Below are 26,004 nucleotides of genomic sequence, written 5' to 3' on the forward strand. Positions count from 1 at the left end.
CAGTGGCGTGATCTCGGCTCATTGCAACCTTCGCCTTCCAGGTTCAAGTGATTCTCCTGCCTCAGCCTCCTGAGTAGCTGGGACTACAGGCGCGCGCCACTACGCCCGGCTAATTTTTGTATTTTTAGTAGAGACGGGGTTTCACCATGTTGGTCAGGCTGGTCTGGAACTCCTCACCTTGTGATCTGCCCGCCTTGGCCTCCCAAAATGCTGGGATTTGGGTGTGAGCCACCGCGCCCGGCCCTCTTTTCCCTCTTAATTCTGTGCCACCCTGCACTTGGTTGGCATAAATGGAATATTTCCATTTATCCGGGTCTTTCAGTGGAGCTTTGTTCTTCACTGCCAATCATGAGAAGGCAGTGAAGGTACCAAAGTGAGTTTGCATTTCTGACTGATGAGGTCCTAGGTCCAGTAGCTGCAGCATGTTCAATCAGCTGGTGGCGTCCCAGCCGGACTCTCTGTGTGGACGTGCTGCCCCCTGCTGGCCACTGGGACCTTACGCGCTCACTGTCAGGAAAACAAAAACAACTCGTGCTGAATGTAAAAAGCCCTGCATTTTGGAATCCTTATAAAGCTAATAAACCACGATGATTTTCTTTGACTGTTACTTCCTTTTTCCCCCTGTAGAGTCACTCAAATTCTCTTAACCCTCATTGAGACCAGAAAACAAATGTAAAGAGAAAGAATTGTGACTGTTTTCAGATGCAAATTGAATAATAGGATGCTTACCTCTAAGCATCCTGTGGTGTTTGAAATAAAAGAAAGAAGCAACTCTTAATCTCTTTTGCCAGAATTTAAATTTGGTGTCTCCCTTGTATTGGCAAGGATGCAAGAAAAGTCTTTCTCGTCGATGCTGATGGGATTATGGAAAGGAATTTGACATCTCTCAGTATTAAAAATGCACATTCTCCTTATTTTAAGAATTTAACCTGGCCGAGCGCAGTGGCTCATGCCTGTAATCCTAGCACTTTGGGAGGCCGAGGCGGGCAGATCGCCTGAGGTCAGGAGTTTGAGACCAGCCTGGCCAACATGGTGAAACGTTGTCTCTACTAAAAATACAAAAATTAGCCAGGCATGGTGGCACATGCCTGTAATCCCAGCTACTTGGGAGGCTGAGACAGGAGAATTGCTTGAACCCAGGAGGCAGAGGTTGCAGTGGACCGAGATCATGCCACTGCACTCCAGCCTGGGTGACAAAAAAAAAAAAAGAATTTAACCTACAGATAAATTTCTACAAATGCAGAATAATGTATGTTCAGGGATTTGTTGCAGCACTGTCATATCATGAAATATTATGAAGTCATTAAAAAGAGTAAAGGAACATAATCTATCCTACAGGGGAAAATCCAAGATAAATTCTTAAGTGAAAAAAGCAAGATACATAACTGTGTGTACAGCATGGTACTTTGTGTTTAAAAAACCAAAACTGGCCGGGGGTGGCTCACACTTGTAATCCCAGCACTTTGGGCGGCTGAGGCAGAAGGATTACTTGAGCCCAGGAGTTTGAGGCTGCAATGAGCTAAGGTGGTACCACTGCACTCTGGCCTGGGCAAAGAACGAGACCCTGTCTCAAAAAATAAATAAATAATAAATTTTAAGAATAAAAAACAAAAACCTGACAGAGAAAGTATTTCCAAAGAGATACACAAGAAATTGTCTTGGCCACTGAGAAGAGAAACTGGGTGGCCAGGGCACACGAGAATGAGATGCATTTTTCATCACGTTAGCTTGTACCATCACTCATTCACAAATAAAGTAATTTAAATAAGTTAATAAGTCAATATACTCTGTGGCCTTTACCTACCCAACTCCCACAAAGCAAATATGTGCAAAGGAACTCTCTCCAGCCCCCAAGGCCTCAGAATCACCCTCCTCCTCATCAGGAGCCCTCCTCCCATCACTGGCAAGTTCTCAAGCAGAAATTTGATTTTGCCTCAATTCATCCATCTATGACAACTGTGAGACCAAATTCTCTCAGTCCAGATGGCACACACAAAAAATGTTTCAGTAAAAGTGAAGAAAAATGAAGAACCCAGCTGCAGAAAAAATCATGAGAAATCGCTTGGCATCGCATCAGTTTCCACATTTTGTTCTTCCTTCCGGAGCCTCAAGTTATAAAGGCTATGGGGGAGGAAAGCCTCCGGTGGGCAGAGTTTGCCTCAGAGAATGGCCTGAGCTGGGTGGGCTCATCCCATAAGTAGGACCTTTCTAAGAGCCCCCTTCCACCCCTGTGCAGGAGGCAGAGTCCAGGCCTAATTGGGGTAATTAAGTTCTAGCAGAAGCGAAATCCCACTTCTACCTCCTAGAAAAGAGTCTTCAGACCACAAAAGTGCTACATCATTTGCCATTTGCAGGCAGATCCTGAATGATTCTTTGCTGGGAAATAATGAAATTGGAAGAGTGGAAAAGTATATGTATATTTTATACCCATATACTTTTTTTTTTTTTTTTGAGATGGAGTCTCGCTCTGTCATCCAGGTTGGAGTGCGGGGTGCGATCTCAGGTCACTGCAACCTCCGCCTCCCAGGTTCAAGCAATTCTCCTGCCTCAGCCTACCGAGTAGCTGGGACTACAGGCGTGTGCCACCATCACACCTGGCTAATTTTTTTTGTATTTTTAGTAGAGACGAGGTTTCACCGTGTTAGCCAGGATGGTCTCGAACGCCTGACCTCATGATCTGCCCGCCTCGGCCTCCCAAAGTGCTGGGATTACAGGCGTGAGCCACCGCGCCCAGCCTCACAATGGTATACTTAATGAAATGTTACATTGAACTTGAAACAGGGATCACATTTTCAGACTTCGTGAAATCCTTTCTAAATCTGTTAACATACTTTTTCCAAGATTCCACTCAATAATATCTAAAGCAGATGCTGGCTGACATCTTATTCAATATAGTTTTAAGATGTCACTCTGAGGAAAAAGTATTCTGTAATAGTCAGCCAATAAAAGGAGAACATATGAATTTAATTAGCTCGGTTGAATAAGGACTTCTCTGTTGTGAACCATATATTTGTATGTAGATCTCAGAGTTAAAAAAGAAACAACTTGGCCAGGCATGGTGACTCACGCCTCTAATCCCAGCGCTTTGGGAGGCCAAGGCAAGGAGGAGCACTGGAAGCCAGGAGTTTGAGACCAGCCTTGGGAATATAGCAAGACCCTGTCTCCACTTTTAAAAAAGAAAAAACTTTCTCTCAATATTCTTTGTTGTTGTTGTTGTTGTTGTTTGAGGTGTCTCGCTCTGTCTCCCAGGCTGGAGTGCAATGGCACCATCTCAGCTCACTGCAACCTCTGCCTCCCAGGCTGGAGTGCAATGGCACCATCTCAGCTCACTGCAACCTCTGCCTCCCAGGCTGGAGTGCAATGGCACCATCTCAGCTCACTGCAACCTCTGCCTCCCAGGCTGGAGTGCAATGGCACCATCTCAGCTCACTGCAACCTCTGCCTCCCAGGCTGGAGTGCAATGGCACCATCTCAGCTCACTGCAACCTCTGCCTCCCAGGTTCAAGCAATTCTCCTGCCTCAGCCTCCCAAGTAGCTGGGACTACAGGCACCTGCCACCACACCCGACTAATTTTTTTGTATTTTTAGTAGAGACAGGGTTTCGCCATGTTGGCCAGGCTGGTCTCGAACTCCTGACCTCAGGTGATCGACCTGCCTCTGCCTCCTAAAGTGCTGGGATTACAGGCGTAAGCCACCATGCCCAGCCTTCAATGTTCTTTTGTATATTTTTTCTTGTTCATATTATAAAAGTAATACACGTGCAGTATAGAAAAATTTGGGCTGGGTGTGGTGGCTTGCACCTGTAATCCCAGCACTTTGTGGGGCCAAGGCAGGAGGACTTCTTGAGCCTGGGAGTTCAAGACCAGCCTGGGCAACATAAGGAGGCCCTATCTCTACGAAAAAATTTTAAAAATAGCTGGGTTGGTCCCACATGCCTGTAGTTGGGAGGCTGAGGCAGGAGGATCACTTGAGCACAGGATGTCGAGGCTGCAGTGAGCCATGATTGTGCCACAGCACTCCAGCTTGCTTGGACTCCAGCCTGGGTGACAGAGAGAGACCCTGTCTCGACAGAAAAAGAAAAAAAAATTTTTTTTGGAAAATGCAGAAAAGCATAATAAAAATATTAAAATAAAAATATTAAAATTACCCATAGCCAGGTCGGGGGTGGTAGCTTATGCCTGTAATTCTAACACTTTGGGATGCCAAGGTGGGAGGATTTTTTAAGCCCAGGGGTTCAAGACCAGCCTGGGCAACATAGCAAGACCCCCATCTCGAGTGAAATAAATAAATAAATAAGGATAAATTTTTAAAAAATAAAATTACCCATAGCCCACTAATCAGAGGCAATCACTAATAACATTTTAAAATATATTCTTTTCACATATATGTAGAGAAAGAGAGTTTGCTTGTTTATTTGTTTTGCTGAAGTAGGAGCAAATGTACGTGAAGTTTTCTTATTTATTTATTATTTTATTTTATTTTTTTGAGACAGGGTCTCACTTTGTCACCCAGGCTGAAGTGCAGTGGTGTGATCTCAGCTCACCGCAGCCTCAGCCTCCTGGGTTCAAGCTATCCTCCTGCCTCAGCCCCCCAGGTAGCTGGGACTACAGGTGCACACTACCGCACCCAGCTAATTTTTTTTGTTTGTTGGTTTGTTTGTAGAGACAGGGTTTCACCGTGTTGCTCAGGCTGGTCTTGAACTCCTGAGCTCAAGCGATCTGAGCGATCTGCCTGCCTTGGCCCCCCAAAGTACTGAGCTTACAGACATGAGCCACCAAGGCAGGCCCATAAAGTTTTCTATCTTGCTTTTTTTTTTTTACATAATAGAAAACATTTAAAAAATTAATCACAAAATTCATGGTCACATTCCTACAAAGTTAACGAAATATCTGGGTTGGCTTATGCAGGTGGTCAGCCAGAATTTCTGCAATGTCCAGATCCAACCAGGTCCTGGCTCCAGTTTGAGGCCCCTGGTGGCATTTATCTCCACCACCTATCAGTGGAGGTGATTCTGGGTTCGGGGTTGACAGGACCTCCAGGACCGCAGTGGCAAGGCTTGTAATCTCTTGGAGCTAGGAGAACCCTGGGGCAGAACTCCTTGCTTCCTTGCTTTCTAGAAGGGATTTCTGTTTTCCCCGACTCGCCTTGTCCTCTTTCTGCATTCCCCACATCCTAGAAGATAAGAGCTTTCTTTAGTGCACCCCATTAGCGAAGGGGATCTGGTGAGGATGGTAGCCAAACTGAATTTGCATTATCTTAGGAAAAAGTTTTTGCCAGGTTTTACTGTATTTTTATTGGTCATTACATGTTTTCTAAAAACACTTCATAATGACTATACAATATTCTATTTGGACAGTTGCTCTTATTGTAAATAATCTCATAAGAAACACTGTTATACACATGTTTTGCTTTTATTTCTGGTTATTTTCTTAGAATACACTTCTAAGGTCGAGGCTGCAGTGAGGCAAGATCACACCACTGCACTTCAGCCTGTCTCAAAAAAAAGAAAATAAAAATCCTGTCTCAAAAAAATAAAATAAAAATAAATAGGGCAGGCACGGTGGCTCACACCTGTAATCCCAGCACTTTGGGAGGGCTAGGCAGGCGGATCACCTGAGGTCAGAAGTTCAAGACCAGCCTGGCCAACATGGTGAAACCCCATCTCTACTAAAAATACAAAAATCAGCTCGGCGTGATGGCGTGCACCTGTAATCCCAGCTACTCAGGAGGCTGAGGCGGGAGAATAGCTTGAACCTGAGAGGCAGAGGTTTCAGCGAGTTGAGACTGTGCCACTGCACTCCAGCCTGGGCTGGAGTGAGACTTTGTCTCAAAAAAATTAATTAATTAAATAAAAATTATAATAATACATAAATTAGAAAATGTCACGTACATTGAAAGTCTGGGTCTTGATATAAACTGCCAAATTGTCCTCCAGAAATGTACACTCACAACAGCAGTGTGGAAGATTGTCTAATTCACAAACTTTTGCTAACTATGAGAATTAAAGTGCAAAATATATTTTTTTAATTTCATGGGAGAAAAAGATTTCATTTTTATATTTATTTATTTTGAGACGGGTCTCATTCTGTCACCCAGGCTGGAGTGCAGTGGCATGATAAAGATTTCATTTTTAATTGTATGTTTACTATCAATGAGATTAACCTTTTTTCCAGACATTTATTAGCCATTTGGAGTCTCCTTTTATGAATTAAATTGTTCTTTATAAATTTTGCCCATCTGTAGGAGTGATACATGTCAGAGTGCACTCAGGGTGAGAAGAAACTAGACCCAGGCGTCTCTCGGTTAGATCAATAGAGCCTAAACACCTGAAGGATGTAGAATCAAGTCACTGCAGTCAGGCTGCAAAGCAGACAGAGATGCAGTATTTTCCAGGAGAGTCAGAACGCGTTTCCAGGTCCTGAAATCTTCACTGGGCAGATGATAAAATCTACATGCATGAAGGTGAGATCAGAACACCTAGAAGTCTACTGGTCTCTCTATAACCAGTCTTATGTACTTAGGCTAAAACAGTTCTGCTTGTAAACTCCTCTGAATATATACTGGAACTTGGCGGGGCCAGGAACACCTCTTCAGTTTTGAAATTTTTTAATACACAATGTGACTACAGAATATGGTACGCTGAGACATGAACTCAGTCCTCTTAACCACTTTTTTTTTTAATTTTTTAAATGCTGTATTCTGGTTTATTTTTTATTTCATTTCATTTTATTTTTTGAGACAAGGTCTTACTTTGTCACCCAGGCTGGAGTGCAGGAGCCCAGTCACGGCTCACTGCAACCTCCGCCTCCTGGGCTCAAGTGATCTCCCACCTCAGCCTCCCGAGTAGCTCGGACTACAGGCACGTGCCACTACACAGGGCTGATTTTTTTATTTTTTGTAAAGATGGAGTTTCACATGTTTGCCAGGCTGGTCTCAAACTCCTGAGCTCAAGGGATCCACCCACCTCAGCCTCCTGAAGTGCTGAGACCACATGTGTGAGCCACGGGCGCCTAGCCTTTAATCACCTTCAAGAAATATGTTTGTCGGGGCTGGGTCTGTGGCTCATGCCGGTAATCCCAGCACTTTGGTGAGCCAACGTGGGAGGATTGCTTGAGCTCAAAAGTTTGAGACCAGCTTGGGAACGACAGCATAAACCTCGTTTCTACTAAAAATAAAACTTAAAAAAATTTTTTTAATTAGCCAAGGCCAGGCGCGGTGGCTCACGCCTGTAATCCCAGCACTTTGGGAGGCTAAGGCGGACGGATAACGAGGTCAAGAGATCAAGACAATCCTGGCCAACATGGTGAAACTCCGTCTCTACTAAAAATACAAAAACTAGCCGGGTGTGGTGGCATGCGCCTGTAGTCTCAGCTACTCGGGAAGCTGAGGCAGGAGAATTGCTTGAACCCGGGAAGCAGAGGTTGCAGTGAGCCGAGATTATGCTACTGCACTCTAGCCTGGTGACAGAGTGAGACTCCATCTCAAAAAAAAATAATAATAATAATAAATTCGCCAAGTGTGGCCAGGCATGGTGGCTCACACCTGCAATCCCAGCACTTTGGGAAGCCGAGGCAGGTGGATCACAAGGTCAGGAGATCGAGACCATCCTAGTCAACACAGTGAAACCCCGCCTCTACTAAAATGCAAAAAATTAGCCTGGCGTGGTGGTGTACACCTGTAGTCCCAGCTACTCAGGAGGCTGAGGCAGTGGAATCACTTGAACCCAGGAGGCAGAGGTTGCAGTGAGCCGAGATCGCACCACTGCACTCCAGCCTGGGCAACAGAGCAAGACTCCGTCTCAAAAAAAAAAAAAAATTAGCCGAGTGTGGGGGAATGTGCTTGTGTGCTTGTAGTCCCAGCTGCTTGACAGGCTGATGTAGGAGGATCACTGGCACCCAGGAGGTCAAGGCTGCAGTGAGCCATGATTGGACAACTGCACTCCAGCCTGAGCAACAGAGCGAGACTCTTTCTCAAAAAACAAAACAAAAACCCATGTTAGTGGACACTGGGGATGGCTTGAGGGAGGAGGAGGAGGAGGGGTGGGGGTTGGAAGGCTACCTATGGGATAATATGCTCCCTACCTTGGTGACAGGATAATTTGTATGCCAATCCTCAGCAACAAGCAGTTTACCCAAGTAACAAACCTGCCCACCTATCCCCTGAACCTAATATTAAAATAGAAAAGAAAGGCCAGGCATGGCGGCTCATGCCTGTAATCCCAGCACTTTGGGAGGCCAAGGCGGGCGGATCACGAGGTCAGGAGATCGAGACCATCCTGGCTAACACTGTGAAACCCCATCCCTACTAAAAATACAAAAAATTAGCCGGGTTTGGTGGTGGGCGCCTGTAGTCCCAGCTACTCGGGAGGCTGAGGCAGGAGAATGGTGTGAACCCAGGAGGCGGAGCTTGCAGTGAGCTGAGATTGCGCCACTGCACTCCAGCCTGGGCAACAGAGCGAGACTCTGTCTCAAAAAAAAAAAAATAGAAAAGAAAAAAAAATGTTTGAAATCCACTAGCTGGGAGGGAAAAAAGAAAAGAATAAAAATAAGTAAATGAAAAGAAAAGAGAAACGTGGCCGGGCACAGTGGCTCACGCCTGTAATCCTAGCACTTTGGGAGGCTGAGGCAGGTGGATCACCTGAGGTCAGGAGTTCAAGACCAGCCTGGCCAACATGGTAAAACCCCATCTCTACTAAAAATACAAAATTAGCCAGGTGCACTGGCTCATGCCTGTGATCCCAGCGACTTGGAAGGCTGAGGCAGGAGAATCGCCTTAACCTGGGAAGTGGAGGTTGCAGTGAGCCAAGATTGTGCCATTGCACTCCAGCCTGGGCAACAGGAGCAAAACTCCATCTCAAAAAAAAAAAAAAGAAAGAAAGAAATGTGTTCATGAGAGATTCATCTGAGTGAGGATCTTGCACATCTGACTGTCCAGAGTCAAATTAAGGGTGAGGACTGCCAAATAGTGCCCAGTGTGCCAATCTCCAAGGGGCCCGAAAGCACCACTATAAATAAGATGAAGACAATATTTTCTTTAAAATTCTTCTTTCTTGAGAATTCTATATGTGGTGTGAAGGAATGTTTGATACACACTTGGGAAAGTACTTGGATGCAGTAATATCAAACAGTATTGTTTTGTTATTTGTTTTGTTTTGCTGGCTAAATTGCTTGAGACAATAGAGAAGATATTGAGTGGCGTTGCTGCTGGAAGTTCCTCACTCTTCTCTAAACTTCTCAAACTCTCCTCTAAAGAAAGGTACAGGCAAGGCGTGGTGGCTTACGCCTGTAATCCCAGCACTTTGGGAGGCCAAGGTGGGCAGATCACCTGAGATCAGGAGTTCCAGACCAGCCTAGCCAACATGGTGAAACCCTGTCTCTACTAAAAATACAAAAATTAGCCAGGCTTGGTGGTGTGCACCTATAATCCCAGCTACTCCAAAGGCTGAGGCAGGACAATCGCTTGAACCCAAAAGGCAGCGGTTGCAGTGAGCCGAGATTGCGTCACTGCACTCCAGCCTGGGTGATAGAGTGAGACTCCATCTCGAAAAGATAAATAAATAAATAAATAATGAAAGGTACAAATATTTTAAAATACTGGTTTAAATTTAAAGGTGCAACAACTAGTTACCCTTCCCTGAGCACCCACATGTCTCCATTAAAGTTATTCTCTACACTTTTTTCTGTCCTAACACACTGGAGGGTTGTAGCAACCTACATTAGCATCAATTGCTTTGGACAGCAGCAATTCCCATGGGACTGGGGTAATGGTGTCCTGTGTGAAAGAGTCCTCTAGAGTTCAGAGTCGCTAGTCATGCCACTACAGCTTTATTAATTAGCCACAAAGGATTTAACGTAAGTTGTGGAGCATTAATCAGTAAAAGGCAAACATATGACAATGCATAAACAAATAATTCAAAATAATTAGCATTTATTCCCTGAATGTGTGGCTGCCGTAGCAAATAAGGAAATTCAAAATATCATGCTTAATTTGCGATTGTGTTTTTCCCTTTAATTGCATCTGCCACCTGCTGTTAATTTGAAACAATTAAACCCTAAAGGCAGTATTCAAAAGTAAGAAGACTGCAGATTTCACCTTTGGGCAAAAAAATTATACAGCAGCTTCACCGAACTTAAAAAAGAGTGAAACATTCTTTTCCAGAAGTGGTAGAGTGTTTTCTGTTTGCACAGCATGCCCTAGTAAGTGAGAGGGTGATGTTAAGGATGTGATTGCCAACTCCCTTTAGTATGCTGAGCTATATAAGCTACATGAAATTCTTGTCTCCTTGGAGATCTATACCAGTATTGCCAATAGAAATACAATGCAAACCAAAGATTTTACATTTTAAGTTTTCAGCCGGGCACCGTGCCTCATGCCTGTAATCCCACCACATTGGGAGGCTGAGGTGGGCAAATCACCTGAGCTCAGGAGTTACAGACCAGCCTGGGCAACATGGTAAAACCCTGTCTCTACAAAAAAAAATTAAAAATAAAAAAAATTAGCCAGGCTTGGTGGTGGGTGCCTGTAATCCCAGCTACTCAGGAGGCTGAGACAGGAGAATCGCTTGAACCCGGGTGGTGGAGGTTGCAGTGAGCCAAGATGGTGCCATTGCACTCCAGCCTGGGCAACAGAGCAAGACTCCATCTCAAAAATAAATAAATAAGTAAATTTTAAATTTTCTAGTAACCACATAAAAAAGTAAAAAGAAATAGATAAAATTAAGTCTGATAAAATATTGTATTTAACTCAAATATTAAAAATATTATTTCAACAAGTCATCAATATTAAAAAAGACTCAGCCTCAGGAGGCTGAGTCAGCAGAATCGCTTCAACCCAGGAGGCGGAGGTTGTGGTGAGCTGAGATCGTGCCATTGCACTCCAGCCTGGGCAACAAGAGTAAAACTCTGTCTCAAAAAAAAAAAAAAAAAAATTGGCAGGCATGGTGGCACATGCCTGTAGTCTCAGCTACTGTGGGGGCTGAGATGGGAAGATCACTTCAACCCAGGAGGCAGAGGTTGCAATGAACTGAAATCATGCTACTGTACTCCAGTCTGGGGGACAGAGTAAGACCCTGTCTCAAAAAAAAAAAAAAAGAAAAAGAAAAAAAAAAAAGGCTAGGCACAGTGGCTGACACCTATAATCCCAGCACTTTGGGAGGCCAAGAGGGGGGCGAATCACGAGGTCAGGAGTTTGGGGTGAATCACGAGGTCAGGAGTTCGAGACCAACCTGGCCAACATGATGAAACCCCGTCTCTACTAAAAATACAAAAAATTAGCTGGGCGTAGTGGTGGGCGCTTGTAATCCCAGCTACTCGGAATGCTAAGGCAGAAGAATCACTTGAACCCAGGAGGTGGAGGTTGCAGTGAGCCAAGCTCGCACCACTGCACTCCAGCCCGGGTGACAGAATGAGACTCCATCTCAAAACAAAAAAAATAATAATAAATAAAAATAAAATGTAAACATTTTAAAAAATGTTTTTTTAAAACGAGAAACTTTTCTAACAAGATGGAAGCTACAATCATATGTAACATAATCATTTTTTCCAACAAGATGGAAGCTACAATCATATGTAACATAATCACGAAAGTGGCATCCCATCATCTTTGTCATATTCTACTGATTAGAAGCAAATCACTGTTCCTGCCCACACTCAGGGGAAGGAGATTCCACAGAGGTGTGAATACCGGAAGGCAGAAATTATTGAGAGTCATTTTAGAGTCTGTCTACTACACTTATTAAGCCTTCAAGATGTACAGTTCTGTGTGTTCTCCATTTACAACATACATATCTCAAGTCAGAGCAGCCGCATTTCAAGTACTCAGTAACCACTGGCTAGTGGCTGCCATATTGAACAGTGTTATTCTGTATCGACCAAACCCAGAGATCTGGGGAATTACAGGATACCCAAACACTGGTTTTAGCAATCATGTGTCTCTATAAAGAATTCAGTCTCAAAAGAACTAGAAGCATAAAGGTATGGTAGGTTAAGAACATTTTGTTGTTTCTTTTTGTTGTTGTTTGTTTGTTTGTTTGTTTTATTTTTGAAACAGCGTCTCGCTCTGTCAGCCAGGTTGGAGTGCAGTGACACCATCTTGGCTTACTGCAACCTCCACCTCCCAGGCTCAAGTGATCCTCCCTCCTCAGCCTCCCAAGTAGCTAGAACTACAGACATATACCACCATACCTGGCAAATTTTTGTATTTTTTGTAGAGACAGGGGTCTCTGTATTTCTCAGGCTTGTCTTGAACTCCTGGGCTCAAGAGATCCACCTCTTTTGGCCACCCAAAGCGCTAGAATTACAGATGTGAGCCACCGTACCCAGGCTTGTCATCTCTAATAGATAAAGAATGTATTGGTATTATTTTTATTTATTTTTGAGATGTCACGCAGGCTGGAATGCAGTGGTACGATCTTGGCTCACTGCAACCTCCACCTCCCAGATTCAAGCGATTCTGCTTCCTCAGTCTCCCGAGTAGCTGGGATTACAGGGATGCGCCACTACACCCGGCTAATTTTTGTATTTTTAGTAGAGACAGGGTTTCACCATGTTGGCCAGGCTGGTCTTGAACTCCCGACTTCAGGTGATCTATCCACTTCGGCCTCCCAAAGTGCTAGGATTACAGGCATGAGCCACCACACCCAGCCAGTATTATTTTAAATCTGGATCCTCAAAGCAAGTAGAGGCTGGAAAATATTATTTGCATTTATTTTTACAATTCTACTTTATACTTGCCCTGACTTAATGGGCAAGTCCTATAGGCTGAGAGAAATAGTTTTAAAAAGGCCATTTACAGAAAGGCCAGGTGACTGTAACATCAGAGGGCTCCCAGGAGGATATCTTGGTAAATACCCTCACACCTTTCCCCTTGACTCATAGCAGGACCACTCTAAGCCAGTCAACAGAAAGAATCGATCCTTTTCCCTGCATGCCATTTTACCAGTAACAGGAGGCTCAGAGCAGAGACACAGATGGGGATATTTTCCAAGCAATTCTCCAGTTTCCCATTTGACTGATTATGTGAGAAACCCCAAGTGGAGGGAGGATCTGACCCCTGAGCATGAGTGGCAGTCTGAAGAGGAGTCTGCAGATGGACCTCATTCCTCACTAAAACCTGAGCATCCCCCCTGAAGCCAGTGGCTCACTCCAGTTCTTCCCAGCTCTTCCTGTACCACCCCAAACTCAATTCAAGTATTGGCTGCATGCAGTGGCTCACACCTATAATCCCAACACTTTGGGAGGCTGAGGCGGGCAGATTGCTTGAGCCCAGGAGTTCAAAACCAGCCTGGGCAACATGGCGAAACCCTATCTTTATTTAAAAAGAATAAACAAAAATTTAAAATTAAAAAAAAATTTTAAAAAGCAAGTATTAATTACATATACAGGTCTTCACTTGCTTCCATTGTCCACGTGATATATTCATGTATCTCTTCTCATGCTTTCTCCCGTCACCTCTCTAAGGACAGCCCAAAACCTATGCCAGCTTCTTATTGGAATTTCCAGCTCCACGTCACCACCTGCCTCCTGGATGTTTCTCTCTGAATATTCCCCTTTCATCCTTGGCTCAACATTCTCTAACAGCAAGTGTCCCCTTTCCTTTCATAAACATGCTGCTTCTCCTATTTTAGTTGTTCAAGCATTGAAGATTGCAGTGTTTTAATCCTCATGCATCTTTGCTTCCATTTGCAATCTTTTTTTTTTTTTTTTTTTTTTGAGGCAAAGTCTCGCTCTGTTCACAGGCTGGAGTGCAGTGGCGCAATCTTGGCTGATTGCAACCTCCGCCTCCTGGGGTCAACCAATTCTTCTATCTCAGCCTCCCGAGTAGCTGGGATTACAGGTGTGCACCACCAGGTCCGGCTAATTTTTGTAGTTTTAGTAGAGACAGGGTTTCACCATGTTGGCCAGGCTGGTCTCAAACTCTTGACTTCAGGTGATCTGCCCACCTCAGCCTCCCAAAGTGCTGGGATTACAGGTGTGAGCCACCACGCCTGGCCCCGCAATCATTTTTTAAATAGTTCTTTTCTGTTGTCTTAGGCTTCACTTCTTATTCTATCATATTTTAATTTTTTTTTTTTTTTTGACAGGGTCTTGCTCTGTCACAAAGGCTAGAGTGCAGTGGCATGATCACAGCTCATTGCAGCCTCAACTCCCCAGGTACAAGCAATCCTCCCATCTCAGCCTCCCAAGTAGCTAGGACCCAGGCATGTGCCACCATGCCTGGCTAGTTTTTTTGTTTTTCTGAAGAGATAGGGTCTCCTATGTTGGCCAGGTTGGTCTTGAACTCCTGGACTCAAGTAATCCTCCCATCTCAGCTTCCCTAAGTGCTAGGATTATAGGCATGAGCCAGCTCACCCAGCCTTATTTGAATACTTTCACAGTTGTTTCCTAACATGTCTCTCAACCTCTCATTCCTCCTTTTAAAAACACATGTTCTGGCCAGGCATGGTGGCTCATGCCTGTAGTCCCAGCTACTTGGGAGACTGAGGTGCGAGGACTGTTTGAGCTCAGGAGATCAAGGCTGCAGTGAGCTCTGATTGTGCCACTGCACTCCATCCTGGGTGACAGAAAAACCTGTCTCAAAACAACAACAATAAAACAAAACAAAACAAACGTAAAAACCATATATTCTGAATGAACAAGACTACCTTGTTTTTTTTTGTTTTTTTTGTGAGACGGAGTCTTGTTCTGTTGCCCAGGCTGGAGTGCAGTGGCACGATCTCGGCTCACTGCAAGCTCCGCCTCCCAGGTTCACGCCATTCTCCTGCCTCTCAGCCTCCGGAGTAGCTGGGACTACAGGCACCCACGACCACGCCTGGCTAATTTTTGTTTGTAGTTTTAGTAGAGACGGGATTTTTTACCATGTTAGCCAGGATGGTCTCGATCTCCTGACCTCGTGATCCGCCCGCCTCGGCCCCCCAAAGTGCTGGGATTACAGGCGTGAGCCACCGGGCCCGGCAGTCTTTCTCTCTTTTTTTTTTAAAGTGATATTTATTCATTCATCCACTCCAAAATACTCAGTGGCTCTCCATTGTCTTTGTGGTAGTTCTTAATCCTAGATACATTTCAGAATCACTCATGGCACTCGTTTTAAACAGACTGCCAGACCAAACCTCAAATCCACTGGCAAAGACTGCTAATTGCCCCTTGTCCTCCAATATTTGCTTGTCCTTTCTTCCATAATGATAAAACTCCCAATCTTTAAGGGAAGAAACTGCCATCCTGAAAGGACTATATTTCCCAGCATCCTTTGTAGCAAGGTATAGATATGTATCTAAGGCCTGGCCAACTGGGGATAAACAGAAATGGTCTTTGCAAATTTTTAGGAAAGCCTTTTTTCTCCCCTTTTCTTTTTCCTACTGGCTAAAATGCAGATGTGATGACTGGAACTGCACTAGCAATTTTGGACCATAAGGTGTTAATCATGACAGAATAAAAAGGTAGGATCTTTGATGATTGTGGAGCTGCCATATTCGCTTTGGCCTGCCAACATTTACATAAGGAGGAAATAGACTTCTTTCTTGTTTAAGCCACTTTTACTTTGGGATTTCTGTCATGAACAGCCAAACTTAATCCTAACTTGCCTAATTCTCTTTTTTTAATCCATTACAAAGACCTATTGATTCTACCTTAACTATCCTTCCCCTTCCATCCATGCTGCCACTGCCTTGGTTCAGTTCTTCAACATTTCTTGCAAAGGTTATTAGTTAATCTCCTGTTTTTTCAGCCTTCAGTGATGCCCTTTTTCAATGCTTCCCAGGTAAGTAGTTCTAAAATGCAAATCTGATCATTTCATTGATCTGTTTAAAATCCTTCAGGGTAGGCCGGGCACGGTGGCTCATGCCTGTAATCCCAGCACTTTGGGAGGCCAAGGGGCAGATCACGAGGTCAGGAGATCGAGACCATCCTGGCTAACACGGTGAAACCCCGTCTCTACTAAAAATCCAAAACAATTAGCCGAGCATGGTGGCGGGCGCCTGTAGTCCCAGCTACTCAGGAGGCTGAGGCAGGAGAATGGTGTGAACCCGGGAGGCGGAGCTTGCATTGAGCCAAGATCGCGCCACTGCACTCCAGCCTGGGCAACAGAGCAAGACTCCATCTCAAAAAAAAAAAAAAAAAAATCCTTCAGGGTATATGGTGGGGATGTCTTGCCAGATAACAATAATTCAAGCATACCCTGAGAATGACCCCAGGTTCTCTTTCTTTGTTTTTTTGAGACAAAGTCTCACTCTGTCACCCAGGCTGGAGTGTAATAGTGCGATCTCAGCTCACTGCAACCTCCACCTCCCAGGCTCAAGTGATTCTCCTGCCTCAGCCTCCCGTGTAGCCAGTACTACAGGTGCACAGCACCGCATTGGGCTAATTTTTGTATTTTTGGTAGAGATTGGGTTTCACCATGTTGCCCAGGCTAGTCTCGAATGAGACCAGAGCTCAGGTGATCTGCCTGCCTCAGCTTCCAAAAGTGCTGGGATTACAGGTGTGAGCCACTGTACCAGGCCGTTTGTTTGTTTGTTTGTTTGTTTGTTTGTTTGAGACAGGGGTCTCACTGTGTTGCCCAGGCTGGTCTTGAACTGCTGGGCTCAAATGATCTTCCTGCCTCAGCCTCCCAAAGTGCTAAGATTACAGGCATGAGCTGCCATACATGGCTGACCCTATGTTCTTTGGTGAATGTTTGTTCACTGTTCTGAGCTATGGACTCTGGGAGAGGCCAACCTGGATGTTTACGCTGTACTTATGAAGGTGTGAAGGCTCAGAGCAGGGACACAGATGGGGGCATGAAGAACACCTGGACCCTGGCCTCGTTCCTTGGAACACAAGTCATACAAGAAGCCAGTGGCCTAGGCTGGGCACAGTGGCTTACGGCTGTAATCCCAGCACTTTGGGAGGCCAAGGCAGGCAGATCACTTGAGGTCAGGAGTTCGAGACCAGCCTTGCCAACATGGTGAAACCCCATCTCTACTAAAAAACATACAAAAATTAGCCGGGCATGGTGGCACGTGCCCACCATGCTACTCGGGAGGCTGAGGCATGAGAATCGCTTGAACCCAGGAGGCAGAGGTTACAGTGAGCCAAGATGGCACCACTGTGCTCCAGCCTGTGAGACAGAGTAAGACTCCTTCTCAAAAAAAGAAAAAAAAATAAATCAATGGCCTTTGTTTTAAGCTAGGTGGAGGTTGCTAAGTAGAGGTTGCTGTGTGGGAGTTCCTACTAACCTGCATGCTTTCCACAAAAGGCAGTGGAACTCCTGTCCAGCCTTCCACTCTTGGACACTCCATACATAAGTCCCCTGAATAAACTCTGTCTTTTTTTTTTTTTTTTTTTTTGAGATGGAGTTTCACTATTGTTGCCCAGGCTGCAGTGCAATGGCACAATCTTGGCTCACTGCAACCTCTGCCTCCTGGGTTCAAGTGATTCTCCTACCTCAGCCCCCTGAGTAGCTGGGATTACAGGCGTGCGCCACCATGCCCAGCTCATATTGTATTTTTAGTAGAGACCAGGTTTCTCCATGTTGATCAGGCTGGTCTCAAACTCCCGATCTCAGGTGATCTGCCCCTCTCAGCCTCCCAAAGTGCTGGGATTACAGGTGTGAGCCACCATGCCCGCCCTAAACTCTATGTCTTACCCACTGTCTTCAGGTCTTTTCTTCGGTCTCTCGGTGACTGTGCCTTCCCAGTTTGCCTGTTTGGGGGCCCAGCACAACACAAGGAAGAACGCAAGCCAAGGTCTTTCTTTGCTTGGATGATTTCTATGCATTTCTCAGGACCCAGATTAGTGTCATCTCCTTGGAAAGCCATCCCTTACCCTTCAGCCTTGGTTAGGGCCTTTCTGAAGTGTCCACCCCTGCATCCCCCAAGTCCCCAAGCTTTCCTCTGTCATTGTACGTGTAACAGGGATTGCAGCTTTTTCCTCACCAGCTGAGCTCCTTAAAGAAAGGAACCACATCATGTTCATCTTCCTTTCCCCAGTACCTAGTAAAGTGCCTAGTACATAATAAGTCCTCAGCAAATGAATTTCTACACAGGAACCACCAGAATCCAAGCACAATGAGAGGAAGGCCACCTTTTACTCTAACTCCGCCTACTCACTTTATCTTGAATTTATTAACATCCTAGGCTAAGAGCCATTTTATATCTCAACAGAAACAGCAATCTTAGAAAATATCTTCAAGTAACTCTTAAATTAGGATACTATTAAGCCTCCTGGCTAATCTTAGAGCCCTTCGATGGTAGTTTTTTGATTTATATAACCAGTTTCTAAAACACATCTTCACTCACTAATAAACCGACACGTATGTGGGTCATTCTTCTGAAATTTGTGTTTTATTCTAACTGTATATGAAGACTTTGATTTGGTTGTACATGAGAATTTAATCTTTCCACTATGGTGGTAATTTTTTATTTGTCTTAGAGCCTCAGATGTGGCCACCCTGGGTACAACAGGGCATATCATTTCTGTCTCATCTGTAACCTACAGGATCAAGCAGACCTGAGCTCAGATTTCAGCTCACCCACTTCCACCACAGACTTGCCTTTCTGAGCCTCCTGTAAAATGAAAATGATCATATTTATGCTGGAGAGTGTAACAGGATGTGAACATGGAAGTCCTTTCTGTCTCCATTTCAACCGAAGCTCAAAGGCCTTCAACAAAACAAGTTCTCAGGTTCCAAAGTGAGGTGCCAAGCGCCCCCTGCAGGAACTGCAGAGCAAAGGCGCTTTCTCCTCACCCCAGTCCAGTGAGAGGTGCTCTTAGGGGAATAACGGGAGAGACAAACACTTATCTCTTAGAGTTTAGTGGAAGAAGAAAAAAGAATGAGAAATTTAAAGGTCAAGGCTGTGCCAGAGCAGGAAAGGGGCTGCATCATGGGCAGCCTGCCCATCCTCCAACGTCAGCCAGAGACACTCAGCTCTACGTTCCAGACGTGGGCTCCCAGGAGAGCTCTCTGGGGTGCATTTTGAAAGGCCCCCAACCTGAGGTGACATTCTGCCATGGGCAAGCCAGCCTCAGCAGGGGCTGGAGGCGTTCCACAGAGCAGAAAGGGGGACGCGGTCGTGTGTGGGGGGCGTCAAAAGCAAGGCAGCAGCATTGCCCCAGTCAGGCCTGTTGCCACACTGGGGGCAGAGGGAAAGCTTTCTCTCTGCCCACTGAAGGTTTGCAGAGCATAAACTGATGAAATGCAGATACACAGGAGAAAAAGGCATACGAAATTTACTTAATGTGCATAGAAGAAAATCACAAGACTATGATTACCCAGTAACCCGATGAGGCCCGGCTGCTTATATTCTTCTCCATGGGGAAAGGGAGACAGGGGTTGTAGGAGTAAATGATTTCCAAAGGAAATGAATGAGCCAAAGAACGATGGCTGGGGACAAAGTTCCTTTGAGCACTGGGGAAGGCGGCAGGAAGGTGAGGGGTGGACTATTACTGTGAACAAGTGTTCTTTTTTTTTTTTTTTTTTTTTGAGACAGAGTCTCACTCTGTCACCCAGGCTGGAGTGCAGTGGCATGATCTTGGCTCACTGCAACCTCCACCTCCCGGGTTCAAGCAATTCTCCTGCCTCAGCCTCCCCAGTAGCTAGGACTACAGGTGCGCACCACAACGCCCGGCTAATGTTTGTATTTTTAGTAGAGACGGGGTTTCACCATGTTGGTCAGGCTGGTCTCAAACTCCTGACCTCAGGTGATCCACCTGCCTCAGTCTCCCAAAGTGCTGGGATTACACACACACATGAGCCACCGCCCAGACCATCAATGTTGTCTTATTATGCAGATAAAGTCTCCCAGGCAATCTCTCAGGGCTGCTGTCAGAAGAATAGTTAAAAGCTCCACCTGGTTCGGTGGCTCACCCCTGCAATCCCAGCACTTTCAGAGGCCGAGGCGGACAGATCACCTGAGGTCAGGAGTTTGAGACCAGCCTGGCCAACATGGGGAAACCCTGTCTCTACTAAATACAAACATTAGCCAGTGTGGATGCAAGTGCCTGTAATCCCAGCTACTGGGGAGGCTGAGGCAGGATAATCACTTGAACCTGGGAATTGGAGGTTGCAGTGAGCCAAGATCAAGCCACTGCACTCCAACCTGGGTGACAGAGGGAGACTCCGTCTCAAAAAAAAAAAAAAAAGAAGAAGAATAGTTGAAGGCTGCGTACAGTGGCTCACACCTTTAACCCAGCACTTTGGGAGGCTGAGGTAGGAGGGCCCTTTCAGCCCAGTAGTTTGAGACCAGCCGGGGCAACATGACAAAACCCTGTGTCTACACACACACACACACACACACACACACACATACACACAAACACAAAAGCCAGGCACACAGCTGTAGTCCCAGCTACTCTGGAGGCTGAAGTGGTGGAGGCTGAGTTAGGAGGATTGCTTGACCCTGGAAGGTAGAGGCTGCAGTGAGCTGTAATCTCGCTACTGTACTCCACACTGGTTGACAGAGTGAGCTGCTGTCTCAAAAAAAATTTTTTTTGGCCGGGAGCGGTGGCTCACGCCTGTAATCCCAGCACTTTGAGAGGCCAAGGCGGGTGGATCACAAGGTCAGGAGCTCGAGACCAGCCTGGCCAAGATGGTGAAACCCCATCTCTACTAAAAATACAAAAATGAGCCGGGCACAGTGGCAGGTGCCTGTAATCCCAGCTACTTGGGAGGCTGAGGCAGGAGAATAGCTTGAACCCAGGAGGCAGAAGTTGCAGTGAACCAAGATCGCACACTCTAGCCTGGGCAACAGAGCAAGACTCTGTCTCAAAAAAAAAGGTTTTTTTTACTAATAATTTAAAATTTACATAATAAAATAAAAATAGATGGAAAGTCTATCTGGGTATGGTGATGACTCCCAGTCTCTTCTATTCTCGGGTAGTTGATCATTCCTGGCTATCTGATGAGGTTCCTAGAGAGAGGGGTCTTAAAATAATTGCATTTATTTTGGAAAGAAGCTTTGTTAGTCAGATAAGGAAATTCCAGAGAGAGTTCCTGGGAAAGAAAGAGAAACAAAGAGACAGAAAAGCTGGGAAAAGTCAAGAGAGGGAACTTGGTTCTGAGGCTTATCTCTGAGGCCTTTCAATTTCAAGAAGTAAACTCCATGAGTTTGAAAGAGTTGGCTTAATCTTCTCAGTGTACACAATCAAATATGTACATAATTATATACGTACATAATCGTATAAATTCAGTGTATATAATTGTATAAATTTATGAAAGTTGTTATCCCCTACTGTTTCCCAGAAAACCCTTGACTCGGAGATGGGAAGAACTTGCATTCATTGTGCACCCCTTAGACAACTGTCTGTTCCATCACACACCAAGGCCTTCATGGACATCTCTGGCCCTGCTGAAATGGAATAAAGAAACTCCCGGCCAGGCGCGGTGGCTCACACCTGTAATCCCAGCACTTTGGGAGGGTGAGGCGGGCAGATTACGATGTCAAGAAATTGAGACCATTCTAGCCAACATGGTGAAACCCCGTCTCTACTAAAAATACAAAAATTAACCGGGCGTGGTGGTGGACATCTGTAGTCCGAGCTACTCGGGAAACTGAGGCAGGAGAATTGCTTGCACTAGGAGGTGGAGGTTTCAGTGAGCCGAGATCGCGCCACTGTACTCCACCCTGGGTGACAGAGCAAGACTCTCTCAAAAAAAAAAAAAAAAAAAAAAAAGTAAGCATTTGGTCTAAATTATGCAAGTCAGATATTAAGTTTACTAAATGCTTTAAGGTCATAAAGTGCTTCTTTGTCTTTTGAAAATTGTTCAATTTACCTACTTTGGAGCATTAGATTCTAAATAAAGACTAGGATATGTGGAATTAGCCATGCCCCCTAGCTATGCAAAGAAGGTTATAAAGAAAAGATTTTAAGGCTGGGTGTGGTGGCTCACACTCATAATCCCAGCATTTTGGGAGGCCGAGGAGGGTGGATTACTTGAGGTCAGGAGTTTTAGACTAGCCTGGCCAACATGGCAAAACCCCATCTCTACTGAAAATACAAAAATGAGCCGGGAGTGGTGTCAGGCACCTGTAATCTCAGCTACTCAGGAGGCTGAGGCAGGAGAACCATTTCAACCCGGGAGGTGGAGGTTGTAGTGAGCCAAGATCGGGCCACTGCACTCCAGCCTGGGCGATAGGGCAAGACTCTGTCTCAAAAAAAAAAGAAAGAAAAGAAAAGAAATAAAAGAAGAAATTTTGTATAAGAAAGGATGTTGTATGGTGAATACTTGTCCTAAAGTAAAATGACTGATTGCTTTAAAAAAGGGAATTTATGCAAGAAATATATAAGTTAAAGGTTTCTGGGTCTCCTAAATGCTTCATAAAATGCCATTAGGACTCTTAACTGTACAACTTTCCTGCTTTACAGCTAGATAAGGCCTGGGACACATGAAGTTAGACAACGAAAAGAGTCAGACCTTATCTGCACTTCTGTCTACTGTCACAGGCTCCACACCTAGCACATAATTAAAAATCTGAACTCAACCAGGCACAGTGGCTCACGCCTGTAATCCCAGAACTTTGGGAGTCCGAGACAGGTGGATCACGAGGTCAAGAGATTGAGACCATCCTGGCCAACATGGTAAAACCCTGTCTCTACTAAAAATACAAAATTTAACTAGGCATGGTGGTGCTACTTGGGAGGCTGTGGGAGGAGAATCACTTGAACCCGGGAGGCTGCGGTTACAGTGAGCTGAGATCGGGCCACTGCACTCCAGCCTGGCAACAGAGCAAGACTCCGTCTAAAAAAAAAATTCTGAACTTACCAAGGTTTTCACCAAAAGTAAAAGTTGCTAAGAGTTAACAGTGTAACATATATTTGGGACTACTAAAAAAAAAGTTATACGTGCAAGGTGTATAGAAAAAGTGAAATGTGGCCGGGTGCGGTGGCTCATACCTGTAATCCCAGCACTTTGGGAGGCCAAGGCGGGCGGATCACCTGAGGTCAGGAATTCGAGACCAGCCTCAACATGGAGAAACCCCGTCTCTACTAAAAATACAAAATTAGCCGGGCGTGGTGGTGCATGCTTATAATCCCAGCTACTCAGGAGGCTGAGGCAGGAGAATTGCTTGAACCTGGGAGGTGGACGTTGCAGTGAGCCGAGATCACACCATTGCACTCCAGCCTGGGCAACAAGAGCGAAACTCTGTCTCAAAACAAAAAAAAAGTGAAGTGTGTTTTTGGTAAAAGATAAGAAGTCATGGGAATGTGGATTTTTTTTTTTTTTTGCCTAGATTAAAGGGTTAAAGAATTGTTTTGAGTGAGATAGGAAAAATCTAAAGGTTTAAACAAGTTATGAGAGATTTGCGAAAAAAATTAAATGTAAAAAAAAATTCTGTGTGTGAACATATTGGCTAAAATTAAAGGGGTATTCAGTTTTTCTGTAAATTAAACATTGGAATAAAAGCACAACAGGTTTTTCTTAGACAAAAACCTGCTTATGATCTGCTCTTTAACAAAAGTTGTAAAGGGTTATAAAAGGCTATGAAAATCTTACCTTGTGGTCAAACTAAATAAAATTGGCTACATTTATCTATAACGTTTTATCAAGAATTGAGTTTGACATCAATAATGCACTAATGCAACAGTGATATTTGGCTTATTTGGTATAAAAATCATACAGGAAGCATTATCAAATATGAAATGGTGTTTTGCTTACTTGGGGCTGTATTTGTATAAATGTGTTATTAGTATATGTTGCAAAATTATAAAAAAACTCCTATATTTCTGATATGACTTAGTGTATGTTATTAATAATTATAATTGTTATGTGAAATTGTTGTGTACCATAGAAGTGACCACAATTTCCCAGTAACTTGTGACTTTAATAATGGCTATCCTAGGACTTTTTGTCATCCACAGTCAATTGTTGTCTTATTTTAATCGTCTTTAGAAGGTGGCTTATGATCAACTACAGGACTTTGACAGATATTCTTTTTTTTTTTAATTTGAGATGGGAGTTTCACTCTTGTTGCACAGGCTGAAGTGCAGTGGTGTGATCTCAGCTCACCACAACCTCCGCTCCCTGGGTTCAAGCAATTCTCCTGCCTCAGCCTCCCGAGTGGCTGGGATTACAGGTGTGCACCACCACGCCCGGCTAATTTTGTATTCAGTAGACACAGGGTTTCTCCATGTTGGTCAGGCTGGTCTCGAACTCCCAACCTCAGGTGATCCACCCACCTGGGCCTCCCAAAGTGCTAGGATTACAGGCGTGAACCACCACGCCCCACTGACAGATATTCTTAAATGCAAGTTTCTGATAACTTTGGAAATTGTAACATTAGAATAGAGGAAAACACTTTCAGGACTCATGGAGAGCTGAAATGTTCATGTATACCAATCAGAATTAAGCTGAAGAAGTCGAAAGTCATTTTTTTTTAATTTTGCTTAAAACGTTGATGATCCTTTGTTTTGTTTTTCAGAGTCAAGGAAACTTTTCAGCTATTTACAGCTTTTAACAATTGAGTAAAGTATACTCCTGTGGGCTGGGCGCAGTGGCTCACTCCTGTAATCCCAGCACTTTGGTAGGCCTAGGTGGACAGATCACAAGGTCAGGAGTTCAAGACCAAGATGGTAAAACCCCGTCTCTACTAAAAATACAAAAATTAGCCAGTTGTGGTGGCACACACCTGTAATCCCAGCTACTTGGGAGGCTGAAGCAGGAGAATCACTTGAACCCAGGAGGCAGAGGTTGCGTTGAGCTGAGATCGCATCATTGCACTCCAGCCTGGGCAACAACAGAGAAACTGTCTCAAAAAAAAAAAAAATTAACTGGGAGCAGGGCATGGTGGCTCAGGCCTGTAATCACAGTACTTTGGGAGACCGAGGCTGGCAAATCAACTGAGCTCAGGAGTTCTAGACCAGCCTGGCCAACAAGGTGAAACCCCGTCTCTACTAAAACTACAAAAATTAGCTAGGCATGGTGGCACACACCTGTAATCCCAGCTACTCAAGAGGCTGAGGCACGAGAATCACTTGAACCTGGGAGGCAGAGGTTGAGGTTGCTGTCAGCCGAGATCGCTCCACTTCACTCCAGCCTAGGCAAAAGAGCGAGACTCTGTCTCAAAAAAAAAAATTTAACTGGGCTTGGTAGTGGCAGTTGTAGTCCCACAACTCAGTCCCTCAGACTCAGTGGGAGTCTGAGATGGGAGAATTGCTTGAGCCTGGGAGTTCAAGGCTGCAGTGAGCCATAGTTATACTACTGCACTCCAGGATGGGTGACAGAGTAAGACCTTGTCTCAAAAACCTAAATAAATAAAAATAAATTTACTTTTTCTATGGTTTATTTTAATATATATTTTAAATGAAAACCTATTTAGCCTGAACCCAAGAAGCGGAGGTTGAGTTGACATTGTGCCACTGCACTTTAGCCTGGGCAATGAAGCAAGACCCTGTCTCAAAAAAAAAAAAAAAGAAAAAGAAAAAAGAAAACCTACCCAACTAATATTTGAATACAGTTATATGTTCTTTGTTTCTTTCTTTTTTTTTTTTTTTTTTTTTGAGACAGAGTCTGGCTCTGTCACCCAGACTGGAGTGCAGTGGTATGATCTCGGCTCACTGCAACTTCCGCCTCCCGGGTTCAAGCGATTCTCCTGCCTCAGCCTCCCAAGTAGCTGGGATTATAGGCACCCACCATCACAGCCGGCTAATTTTTGTATTTTTAGTACAGATGGGGTTTCACCATATTGTTCAGGCTGGTCTTGAACTCCTGACCTCATGATCTTCCCGCCTTGGCCTCCCATAGTGCTGGGATTACAGGCGTGAGCCACTGCGCCTGGCACGTTCTTTGTTTCTTTAGGTCATTGCCAAAAATACTGATTATAACAACAAAATAATTCTGCAGAACTGAAGGTAAGAAAAATAAATTTATGAAAACAAGCTGGGCTCAGTGGCTCAGGCCTGTAATCCCAGCACTTTGGGAGGCCGAGGCAGGTGGATCACCTGAGGTCAGGAGTTCGAGACCAGCCTGGCCAACATGGTGAAACCCCGTCTCTACTAAAAATACAAAAAACTAGCCAGGCGTGGTAGCAGGCGCCTG

The 26,004-nt window shown here is 44.8% G+C and overlaps 1 annotated feature.

Annotated features, from left to right (window-relative positions):
• Window positions 12,315-12,416: a silencer, noted in NCBI's record as "fragment chr6:107312640-107312741 (GRCh37/hg19 assembly coordinates)". NCBI's record gives its function as "represses an EF-1alpha promoter that drives an FKBP-Casp9 reporter gene in an ReSE screen in phorbol 12-myristate 13-acetate-treated (for megakaryocytic differentiation) K562 erythroleukemia cells {active_cell/tissue: K562(+PMA)}" and the evidence as "EXISTENCE:reporter gene assay evidence [ECO:0000049][PMID:32094911]".

This window comes from Homo sapiens, chromosome 6 (genome assembly GCF_000001405.40).
Source record: "Homo sapiens chromosome 6, GRCh38.p14 Primary Assembly".
In the NCBI taxonomy this organism is placed as follows: Eukaryota; Metazoa; Chordata; class Mammalia; order Primates; family Hominidae; genus Homo; species Homo sapiens.